Source organism: Homo sapiens, chromosome 11, assembly GCF_000001405.40.
Source record: "Homo sapiens chromosome 11, GRCh38.p14 Primary Assembly".
Taxonomy (NCBI): Eukaryota; Metazoa; Chordata; class Mammalia; order Primates; family Hominidae; genus Homo; species Homo sapiens.
Genome location: NC_000011.10, coordinates 35,435,153 through 35,447,974, shown reverse-complemented (window position 1 = coordinate 35,447,974; position 12,822 = coordinate 35,435,153). Strand labels below are relative to the sequence as shown.

The following is a 12,822-nucleotide window of genomic DNA, read 5'->3' as shown; positions in this document are numbered from 1 at the left end:
TAGGGGCCAATATTCAACATTCTTAAAGAAAAGAATTTCCAACCCAGAATTTCATATCCAGGCAAACTAAGCTTCATAAGTGAAGGAGAAATAAAATCCCTTTCAGACAAGCAAATGCTGAGGGAATTTGTCACCACAAGGCCTGCCTTGCAAGAGCTCCTGAAGGAAGCACTGAATAGTGAAAGGAAAAACTGTCACCAGCCACTACAAAAACACACTGAAGTAGACAGACCAAGGCACTATGAAACAACTACATTAACAAGTCTGCAAAATAACCAGCGAGCATCACGATGACAGGATCAAATTTACACATAACGATATTAACCTTAAATGTAAATAGGCTAAATGCCCCAATTAAAATACACAGAATGGCAAGCTGGATAAAGAGTGAAGACCCATTGGTGTGCTGTGTTCAAGAGACCCATCTCACATGCAAAGACCCAGAAAGGCTCAAAATAAAAGGATGGAGGAAGGCCAGGCGCAATGGCTCACGCCTGTAACCCCAGGACTTTGGGAGGCCGAGGCGGACAGATCATGAGGTCAGGAGATCGAGCCATCCTGGCTAACATGGCGAAACCCTGTCTCCACTAAAAAATAGAAAAAAATTAGCCGGGCGTGGTAGCAGGTGGCTGTAGTCCCAGCTACTCGGGAGGCTGAGACAGGAGAATGGCATGAACCTGGGAGGCAGAGCTTGCAGTGAGCCGAGATCGCACCACTGCACTGCAGCCTGGGTAACAGAGCGAGACTCCATCTCAAAAAAAAAAAAAAAAAAGGGATGGAGGAAAAATTACCAAGCAAATAGGAAAGCAGAAAAAAGCAGGGGCTGCAATGCTAGTTTCTGACAAAACAGACTTTAAACCAACAATATCAAAAAAGATAAAGAAGGGCATTATATAATCATAAAGGGTTCAATTAAGCAAGAAGAGCTTACTATCCTAAACATATATGCACCCAATACAGGAACACTCAGATTCATAAAACAGGTTCTTAGAGACCTAAAAAGAGACTTACACTCCCATACAAAAACAGTGGGAGACTTTAACACCCCATTGTCAATATTAGATCATCAAGACAGAAAATTAACAAAGATATTCAGGACTTGAACTCAGCTCTGGACCAAGTGGACCTGATAGATATCTGCAGAACTCTCCACCCAAAAACAAAAGAATAAACATTCTTCTTGGTGCCACATAGCACTTACTCTGAAATTGATCATATAATTGGAAGTAAAACACTTCTCAGCAAATGCAAAAGGACTGAAATAATAACAAACTGTCTCCCAGACCACAGCACAATTAAATTAGAATGCAAGATTAAGAAACTCACTCAACCACACAATTATATGGAAATTGAACAACCTGCTCCTGAACGACTCCTGGGTAAATAATGAAATTAAGGCAGAAATCAAGAAGTTCTTTGAAACCAATGAGAACAAACAGACAACATACCGGAATCACTGGGATGCAGCTAAAGCAATGTTATGAGGAAAATTTATAGCACTAAATGCCCACATCAAAAATCTACACAGATCTCAAATTGATATCCTAGCATCACAACTAAAATAACTAGAGAACTAAGAACAAACAAACTCCAAAGCTAGCAGAAGACAAGAAATAACCAAGATCACAGCAGAACTGAAGGAGATAGAGACACAAAAAATCTTTCCAAAAATCAACTAATCCAGGAGCTGGTTTTTTGAATAAAAATTAATAAAATACATAGCTAGCTAGATTAATAAAGAAGAAAAGAGAGACTAATTAAAGAATCAAATAGACACAATATAAAATAATAAAGGGGATATCACCACTAACCCCAAAAATGCAAACAATTATCAGAGAATGCTATAAACACCTCTATGCAAATAAACTAGAAAATCTAGGATAAATGGATAAATTCCTGGACACATACACCCTCCCAGGACTGAACCAGGAAGAATTTGAATCCCTGAATAGACCAATAACTAGTTCTGAAATCGAGGTAGTAATTAATAGCCTACCAATCAAAAGAAGCCCAGGACCAGATGGATTTATGGCTGAATTTTACCAGAAGTACAGAGAGGATCTGGTACCATTTCTTCTGAAACTATTCAAAACAATGGAAAAGGAGGGACTTCTCTCTAACTTATTTTATGAGGCCAGCATCATCCTGATAACAAAACCTGTCAGAGATGCAACAAAAAAACAAAACTTCAGGCCAATATCCCTGATAAACATCAATGCAAAAACCCTCAATAAAATACTGGCAAACCAAATCCAGCAGCACATCAAAAAGCTTATCCACCACGATCAAGTTGGCTTTATCCTCAGGATGCAAGGCTGGTTCAACATCTGCAAATCAATAAACATAATTCATCACATAAACAGAACTAAAGATGAAAAAACATGATTAAATAGACACAGAAAAGCCTTTGATAAAATTCAACATCCCTTCATGTTAAAAACTCTCAATAAACTAGGTAAAGCAGGAACATACCTCAAAATAAAAGCCATTTATGACAAACCCACAGCCAATATCATACTGAATGGACAAAAGCTGGAAGCATTCCCATCGAAAACTGGCACAAGAAAAGGATGCCCTCTCTCATCACTCCTATTCAACACAGTACTGGAAGTTCGGGCCAGGGCAATCAGGCAAGAGAAAGAAATAAAGTGTATTCAGACAGGAAGAGAGGAAGTCAAATTTTCTTTGTTTGTGAATGGCATGATCCTATATCTAGAAAACCCCATCGTCTCAGACCAAAAGCTTCTTAAGCTGATAAGCAACTTCAGCAAAGTCTCAGGACACAAAATCAATATACAAAAATCATAAGCATTCCTATACATCAACAACAGACAGGCAGAGAGTCAAATCATGAATGAACTCCCATTCACAATTGCCACAAAGAGAATAAAATGCCTAGGAATACAGCTAACAAGGGAAGTGAAAGATCTCTTCAAGGAGAACTACAAACCACTGCTCAAGGAAATCAGAGAGGACACAAACAAATGGAAAAACATTCCACGCTCATGGATAGGAAAAATCAATATTGTGAAAATGGCCATACTGCCCAAAGTAATTTATAGATTCAATGATATTCCCATCAAACTAGCATTGACATTCTTCACAGAATTAGAAAAAACTATTTTAAAATTCACAAGGAAACACAAAACAGCCCATATAGTCAAGACAATCCTAAGCAAAAAGAATGAAGCTGAAGGCATCACACTAACCAACTTCAAACTATACAAGGCTACAGTAACCAAAACAGCATGGTACTGGTATAAAAACAGACACATAGACCAATGGAACAGAACAGAGACCTCAGAAATAAGACCACACATCTACAACCATCTGATCTTCGACAAACCTGACAAAAACAAGCAATGAGGAAAGGATACCCTGTTTAATACATGGTACTGGGAGAACTGGCTAGGCATATGCAGAAAATTGAACCTGGACCCATTCCTTACACTTTATACAAAAATTAACTCAAGATGGAAAAATGATTGAAATGTAAAATCCAAAACTATAAAAAGCCTAGAAGAAAATCTAGGCAATACCATACAACATAGGCACAGGCAAAGATTTCATGACAAAAACGTCAAAAGCAATTGAAACAAAAACAAAAATTGACGAACTGGATCTAATTAAACTACAGAGCTTCTGCACAGCAAAATAAACTATCATCAGAGTGAACATACAACCTACAGAATGGGAGAAAAGTTTTGGAACCTATCCAACTGACAAAGGTCTAATATCCAGAGTCTACAAGGAAATTAAACAACTTTACAAGAAAAAAAAATCCCATTAAAAAGGGGGCCAAGGACATGAACAGACACTTCTCAAAGGTACTGGTTTTGTACCAGTACCATGCTGTTTTGGTTACTATAACCTCATAGTATAATTTGAAGTCAGTTAGCATGATGCCTCCAGCTTTGTTCTTTTTGCTTAGGATTGTCTTGGCTATATGGGGTCTTTTTGCTTCCTTATGAATTTTAAAGACATTTATGCAGCCAACAAACATTTGAAAAAAGCTCAACATCACTGATCATTAGAGAAATGTAAATAACCACAACGAGATACTATCTCATGCCAGTCGCAATGGCGAGTATTTAAAAGTCAAGAAACAACAGATGCTGCCAAGGCTGTGGAGAAATAGGAACACTTTTACACTGCTGGTGGAATGTAAATTATTTCAAGGTGATTGAACTAATTTGGTGATTCCTCAAAGATCTAGCACCAGAAATACCATTTGACCCAGCAATCCCATTACTGGGTATATACCCAAAGGAATATAAATCTATTATAAAGATACATGCACATGTATGTTCATTGCATCACTGGTCACAATAGCAAAGACATGGAATTAACCCAAATGACCATCAATGATAGACTGGATAAAGAAAATGTGGTACATGATACACCATGGAATACTATGCAGCCATAAAAAGGAACAAAATCATATCCATTGCAGGGACATGGATGAAGCTAGAAGCCATTATCCTCAGCAGATTAATGCAGGAACAGAAAACGAAACACTGGATGTTCTCACTCATAAGTGGGAGCTGAATGATGAGAACACATGGACACAGGGAGGGGAATAACACACACTGGGGCCTATCAGGGGGTTGTGAGGGGAGGGAGAGCATCAGGATAAACAGCTAATGCATGTGGGGCTTAATACCTAGGTGATGGATTGACAGGTGCAGCAAACCACCATGGCACACGTTTACCTATGTAAGAAACCTGAACATCCTGCACCTGTATCCGGAGCTTAATAAAATAAAAATAAAAAGAAGGAAGGAAAAAAAAAAAGCACAGTTGCATTGCACAGAGACTGTTTTATAGGGATGAGCCTGTCTGTGTCTTAGAATAAATGATTTTAAGGAAACCAGGGAGTCTACTAGAAGAGGAGACAGAAAAGGTGGCAAGGGTTGAGAACTACTGGATATTATAATCAATGCCTGTGTGACAGGATCAATTGTACCCCAAAGCTCAGCATAATGCAATATACTCAGGTAATAATTCTGCACATGTACACCCTGAATCTAAAATAAAAGTTGAAATTATTTATATTAAAAAAAAGAAACTAAGGTCAGTTATGGTGGCTTACACCTGTGATTCCAGCACTTTGGGAGGCCAAGGTGGGAGGACAGCTTGAGCTTAGGAGTTCAAGACCAACCTGGGCAACATGGTGAAACCCCATCTCTACTAAAAATACAAAAATTAGCTGGTGTGTGCCTGTGGTCCCAGCTACTCAGTAGCCTAAGGTGGGAGGATCACTTGAGCCCAGGGGATGGAGTTTGCAGTGAGCCAAGATTGCGCCACTGTACTCCAGCCTGGGTGACGGAGTGAGACCATGTCTCAAAATAAATAAATAAATAAAAAAAGAAAAAGAAAAAAAAAGAAAAAAGAAAGTAGGGAGGCTGATAGGTTGATAGAGTGATTGGTACCCAAATCAAGTAGTAGAAGTTTGAATTCTATGGGAGCTCGGCTTCCTTAGGCAAGTCATATTCAGTAGTGTCATAATCTATTTGAGAGAAATATGTTACCTATCTGATAGAATATTTCCAGAATATATCTAAAAATCCTGTTTAGTGCTCAGAATAGCTGCTGATGCCATTTCTACTTTAATAGCCATTCAACAGGACTCAAAGAATAGAAATACCTCTGTAATGAATATCAAATACTTAGATGGAAAGTTATATTTGGAGATCAAGGGAAATTTATTGTATCTCTACAATTATATTGTTCTGTAGTATTTTTAACTATAACTTTCAATACACTTATTTTCCTAGAGATTAAATATAAAATCTAAATTCACTTTATGTATGTACTCTTATTTCTAAGCAGCTCTACTTTCTGGGTACAATACAAATAGGAAATGGAATAGTTTTTAATTGCCCAAGCTTTAAAGAATGAAGGAGATAATACAACAACACTGAAAAACAATAATCCTTGTATACCGATAATAAAATTTAGGTGAGATATTTATTTTACTCAGGGCTGCCTAGTTCCAACAGTTTGAGAAAGAAATGGACAAGATGATATAAGAGCCAGATTTGGCATCAAATTTATTTATATATAGAATGAGATTTTTCAATTTAAGAATAAATTATGAAAACAGGGGAAATACATGTCTAGTACATGAATTTTCTATTATGAGATTTATTTTAGTAATTCTTTTGAGCACCAGATCCTATATCATTGTATTTTTAGTTCAATGAAACATGAAAGATTCTATTCTAAAATGGAATAACTCAGACTTTTAACAATTCTCCTTTTCTTTTACTTTCTTTTAGTCCTTGAAGAAAGAAACTGCTCAGACCCTGGGGGCCCAGTCAATGGGTACCAGAAAATAACAGGGGGCCCTGGGCTTATCAACGGACGCCATGCTAAAATTGGCACCGTGGTGTCTTTCTTTTGTAACAACTCCTATGTTCTTAGTGGCAATGAGAAAAGAACTTGCCAGCAGAATGGAGAGTGGTCAGGGAAACAGCCCATCTGCATAAAAGGTAACTTACAATTGTTTCTGAAGTCTACGGACATTGATGAAGTTGCTAGACTTTTTGGTAGCTCCTTTGCATGTTTTTAAGCCCCTGGAAAAATGCCTTTCTCTTTTAAGTCCTTTCTGAAACCATATATCTCTGAGGTTGGAAACCATCCTAAAAATATTTGCTTCTTTTTTTTTTTGACCTCAAGAGGACCTGCTTTCCCTAATCACAACACCTTGAGGTGATCAAGAAGAGGAATGTAGTTATCAGAGCAGTTTAGGAAAGATGACAGGGCTGAGTTTAATATATGCAAATCCAAGTATAGAATTGAGGCAATGTATAAGCATGTACATAGCTCCACTTATCTACTTTCTATGCAATATTAAGTTGATGTGAGAAATAAAAGAACAAAATAGACACATCATCCCTGCCAGCCTATGGAGGGGGAGGATTGAAGATGTTAAGATGTTTAAAAACAAAGACAGAGAGTAAACCCTTGTACATTCAAGGGATAGTTATAGGAAGAGATGAGTGGTGTAAGTTCAGCAAAAGGAGAGATCAGCATTCCTGAAATAGGGACAATTGCATGAATCCAGTAGGACTGGAGCCAGTCTGGAAAGCTGGAGAGGATTTGTAGATGTGAAGAGGAGTCGGGATGGTATTCCAAATGGAAGACAGCAGAAAAGAAAAGAGGTGTAGGCAGAAGTGAAGTCATCATGGTAAACTCAAAGTGAGGCAATCTGGGAATCAAGGGGTAAACTTAAATATGTAGGTTGGACAGAAAAGTGGAATATTGTATAGAGAAGTTTGAACCTTCCCCATTGGCAGTGGGGATGCATAGTTTCTCACTGAATTGATTCACTAGTTGCTTCAGGTTAACATCCTCTCTATTTGGGGGCAGGCCACAATGATCTGGCTGTTTACTGGGAAGAAAACATGTCCTTGTCCTAGATTATCCGGATAATTGTCTTAATCCTCCACTTTGCCTTCTGGGTGTTTGTCAACAACCTGAATCATGGGAAAAGGAATGAAAGGGAATGGTTTGTGAAAGGAATAAATCACTTTAGACTTTAGCCAGAAGCGACCTTCATCCCCACCAGCACAAATTCTGATTTTTATTTCATTAAGTATGGGAACGGTGTCACATATGTCCTTGGAGATTTTTGTCCAGTCTTCTCTTACAAATTAATACAACCAAAGTTCTCTAAGTTGCTAATTAGATGAATGTTGGCTGCCTGATTGGGAAAGTGAGATGGGAAGGATTCCTTTTCATTCTTGAAGAAAGAGAGACTTCAACAAAATTAAACTGGGCTTTGAATTGCCCTCAAGTGATTGTTAGGGGCCTTAACAGCAGAGAAAGAACATGGAGGAATCAGTTTTCCAAGACTTATCTATGGTTGACACTGCTGTCTGGTGTCAAAAGAGAACCTTCTAATTCCCCATGTGGGCTATGTTTTAGAACCTTCACTTTGACTTTTATTCCATTTTGATCAAGTTTGCTAATTACATTCACATGAACAGATGATCCTAATCTATGATGCCATTGTCCCAAATCACTCAGGTGGGGCAGCCTTTCAGAGGCATCTGCTCTTCTTGGATTCTTCAGAGGGTGCTGTCAATCAAGATGAAATGCACCAAGCTCTTTTGTAAAGTGAGATGTTCAAGCTTGGCTGACATGTCTTGCCTCTGAGAGCCTGGGGAATGGGCACCTGGTGTCCAGAAGTGGGGGTCAGGTATGAATCTGAACTGAATGATATGAACAGTGAATATGGAAAAGGATCATGCAGCATTGTCTTTTTTATTTCTAGCCTGCCGAGAACCAAAGATTTCAGACCTGGTGAGAAGGAGAGTTCTTCCGATGCAGGTTCAGTCAAGGTGAGGTCAAAACACCTGCACTCTGCCCTGAAGGCTAATGAGTATTTCCCCTTCCATTCCCCTTCCCCACTTGTGTTTGGCCAAAGATAGTCAGTTTGAGGTTTCTTAGGGACATTTAGTGCTAACTGGTCATGAAATAATAGGGCTTGTTAGATGGAGGCTTATTAGCCAGCTGCCTTTAGCCAAGAGGTAGCAACTGTTGGAAGATGTACAAATTTCACTGGATCGTGGGAAAGTAGATGACCGGTGGAAAGCAAGACTTTCAGATGATCTTTGAGAAAATGGACTTGAATCCTTGAGTCTTCCTGAAATTACTATGTACTTGTTATGGTAGCTTCTAGGAAGATGACATTTCTGTTAAACACAGTCAGCTATAATTTAGGAAGATATGCTTGGAGGTAACCAGTGAGATGAGGCAGGCTGGGGGAGCCCAAGAACTAGAGACAAATGACCAGCCATGCAGAAGGATGTGAGCCCCTCTGGTATGCTCAACCTTCCTCCTGGGAAGACAAAGGTGGGGTCCACCTGGTGGGGAGGGAGTAGCCCCTTTCTACTCATTTCTTCTACATTCTCTTCCTCACTCTCTCCACTCAGCTACACGGGCCTCCTTGATTTTCCTCTATCACTCCAAGCACAGTTCTGCTTTGGAAACTACACTGTGGCTCCTTCTGTCTGGAGCCTGCTTCCACAAGATCTCAGGCTTATTGCCTCACTTCCTTCAGTTCTCTGCTCAGTTTTTGCCTAACAGAGAGAGATCTTCCCTAAATATCCTTTTAAAGATAGCAATCCTATCTTCACCCTGACTGTCTAGTGGACCCCTTTACCCAGAATTCTCTAGCCTGTAGTCTGTTTCTGTTTTTATCTTAGCATCTCTCTCCACCTGTTGTCTTACATATTTTTAAGGGTTTATTTGTTCAATTTCTGTCAACCTCACCCTCCCCAAAATGTGAAAGTTACACGTGCAGGAACATTATCTGTTTTGTTCATGCTGAAAGTTCTAGTACCTAAAACAGTACCTGCCACATAGTAGGCACTCAGTAAGTATTTATCGAATGAATGAATTGGATTGACAAACAAAGGTTCAAGACCTGAGTCTGCCTCTGTCTTTAGTGCTGGGTATTCTTGGGCAAGTTCCTAAACCTGCTGAGCCTTAGTTTTTTCTTTTGAAAAGTAGTTATAATCATAGCAATCTGTCTCTGGGGATTGTTTCAAGGATTATATGCAACCCTAATAGCTAACATTTATTGCATGTTTGCTCTGTGTCGGTTGCTCTTCTGAGTATTTTCATGCATTAGTTCATTTAATCCTCACTATAACCTCTGAGGTAGGTATTTTTGTTATCACCATTTTATTACAGATTTTATTACCATTTATATTACAGAGGGGTAAACTGAAGCTCAGAGAAGTTAAGTAACTTGTCCAACATCACATTGCTAGAGTGGCAAAGCCAGGATGTAAATTCAGTATCTGGCTTCCTGGTCTGCTCCCGTATGCACTATACTTTGAGTCTTATGTAAAGGCTGTAGCAAAGTACCTTGCACGCATAATTCATCGGACAGTGATTTCTCACCTATTGTTAGAAATAGTAACAGTGAATTCCGGTGACTGAAATTGACTACAGCTAAGTTCCCTGGAATATTCATAAGTCAGAATATCCATCAGTCTTTCACCCCTCCTCAGGCTGTCTCCTTCCATTTTTGTCTTTTTCCTTTCAGGGGCAAGGCATTTCCTTGGAAACGGTGGCAGTGAAATTCAAATTCTGCCCTCTTTCCTGATCTGTGTGATTTCCCTGGGCTGGACTCTCCACTAAGTGGGATCAACCTGTTCTTCCCAAAGACACATGCTGTAGACGGGCCCCTGCACTATTCAGAAAGACTACTGGGCTTCCTATTTTTAAAGCAATATTAATGGGAGGTTAGGTGGCAAAGTGCCGGGTTTCTCAAGTAAATGAAAAAGCAAGGCTGAAACTTGGTTTTAAGTATCTGTTGGGAAGACAGGCAGCTGAAGTGGAGGGTATCCCTATCTCCAGCAGCCACCTCCTCATCCAGAAGCCCCCAACGACAGTGTAGACCTTCCATAGCCAAGGGAGGAGTTTGTTTGCAAGTTCAGGAGCTCCCTGAGCTACAGACCTCATTATAAACATGAGCTAAAGATTTGTTGAATGAAACCAAGAGGATTGGAATATTTGCTCTGAGCCAAGCACTGTATATGAAATAGATTTCTTGTGATGATATATTGGTATTGGGGGGACACCAGGGTGGAAATTGTGACTGGTAAGCACTGCCTTGGGTACCAAGTTTCTTTACTGCGTGCCTCTGCGTACTTCCACTTGCCTCTCTGCACTTCCTTTGTCCATTCATTAAACAGGGATGAAAACATAGATTCCTAAAGGACTTTCAACTTTTCAGGTGACAGTCATTAGGTGCCAACATAAAATGAACACAAACTGCAGAGTGTGTGCACATCTTCCCCAAGAATCCCTGAGTGGTCTCTGAGGGCTCCAACTTCAGGGCTCATTTAATATCCCCTTTTCCCATTTATATGCAATGCTTCATATTTCTCCCGATCAATGCGCCCTGAGAGAAAGTTCTATTCTCTGAGGTGTACTAATTACACCTGCTAATTGCTAAATCAAGCTACTGTATCAACACAGTTTAGTTTGAGTCAATTCCTAATATTGCCCCATTATGATAATGTTTGGAGGAAAAAAATGTCTACATTTCTCTCATTCAATTTAACTCCCTTTTTTGTTTAATGTTGCAATTAATTTCTTTGTGTGTGCATGTATAATGTACCTTTGGATAGCAGCTATTATGCCAGGTATTATTGTCTTTGGTTAAAATCTTAAGCAGTTGGAATCATGCCAGTAATAGACATGGAGACATAAAATGAAGATTGAAGTATACAAGAGAATTTGCTCAGTGGGAGAGGCAAAGTGTGTGTGTGTGTGTGTGTGTGTGTGTGTGTGTGACAGAGAGAGAGAGAGAAACAGAGAGACAGAAAGAGAGAAACAGAGAGACACAGAATGAGATAGCCATTTTTGGCTGGGTGGCGTAGCTCACACCTGTAATCCCAGCACTTTGGGAGGCCAAGGTGAGTGGATTGCTTGAGCCCAGGAGTTCAAGATCTGCCTGGACAACATGATGAAAACCCATCTCTACTACAAATACAAAAATTAGCTGGGCGTGGTGTTGCATGTCTGTAATCCCAGCTATTCAGGAGGCTGAGGCACAAGAATTGCTTGAACCCAGGAGGTGGAGGTTGCAGTGAGCCAAGATCGCATCACTACACTCCATCCTGGAGTGAGGGACAGAGGGAGACCCTGCCTCAAAAGGCAGACAGACAGAGAGAGAGATAGAGAGAGACAGAGACAGAGATTTTTTCTGTTTCTGTAAACAAATATCTACATGGGACATGGCATGAATGCTAAAGAGGCCACAGTGACTTTCTCTCACCCTGCTCTTTCTCTGGGCCCATGTTTCCTGACCCAGGGAGACACCATTACACCAGCTATACTCAGCGGCCTTCAGCAAGCAGAAACTGCAGAGTGCCCCTACCAAGAAGCCAGCCCTTCCCTTTGGAGATCTGCCCATGGGATACCAACATCTGCATACCCAGCTCCAGTATGAGTGCATCTCACCCTTCTACCGCCGCCTGGGCAGCAGCAGGAGGACATGTCTGAGGACTGGGAAGTGGAGTGGGCGGGCACCATCCTGCATCCCTAGTGAGTCAAGGCTCATTCTTGGGCTTGAGCATGCTCAATCTTTCATGACTGCCTGAGAAAAACCATTAACCCTACTTTTTGGGAGAGCATCTCCAGTGCTTTCTCTAGTTTGGTGATATCTGAAATTCCATAGTTAGAGCTTTTTTTTTCCTTTGGCTTAACCTTACTACCCAGGAGAAATTGACTCACTAAATCTTAGAGGCATGCGTTCTTGGGTGATTCTATCATATTTACTTGGAAAAAATGGTCATTAAGTCACCAAGTGGGGAAAGGGGTTAAAGGTGCCAGAGGGCCTCAAGTTATATAATCTTGGCTACCCTGTTTAAGCCCCAATTTTTACACTCATCACCCAGTGATACTAATTAGGTACTTGTTATTAAGCAATGAGGTATTAGATTGGGCACCGGTGGCTCATGCCTGTAATCTCAGCATTTTGGGAGCCCAAGGTGGGTGGGTCATTTGAGGTCAGGAGCTCGAGACCAGCCTGGCCAACATGGTGAAACCCCATCTCTACTGAAAATATAAAAAAATAAAAATAAAAAATGTAATGAGGTATTAATTACATCATAAGGTTATGATGATGAGTACTGAGATAATATGTCAAAGTGTCCGGATTAGGGGCCTGCATTTACTAAGCTGCCTTCCCCATCCTCTTTGCGAAAGGAGAACAATATGATTTAGTTCATTGTGGTCATGACTATGAGGATAGTCATGATATTTTGAGTTTGTTTGCATGTACCATCTCATTTA

General features: G+C 40.1%; 1 protein-coding gene across 4 annotated transcripts in view; it reads left to right on the top strand.

Annotated features, from left to right (window-relative positions):
* PAMR1 (peptidase domain containing associated with muscle regeneration 1) overlaps nt 1-12,822 on the top strand; it is a 98,474-nt gene that overhangs the window by 82,326 nt on the left and 3,326 nt on the right. For all 4 annotated transcript variants that reach the window (NM_001282675.2, NM_001282676.2, NM_001001991.3 and 1 more), the window contains 3 exons: nt 6,282-6,494; nt 8,282-8,348; nt 11,840-12,072. In NM_001282675.2, the coding sequence (NP_001269604.1) occupies nt 6,282-6,494; nt 8,282-8,348; nt 11,840-12,072 (513 nt within the window). The remainder of the gene's footprint in view (nt 1-6,281; nt 6,495-8,281; nt 8,349-11,839; nt 12,073-12,822) is intronic.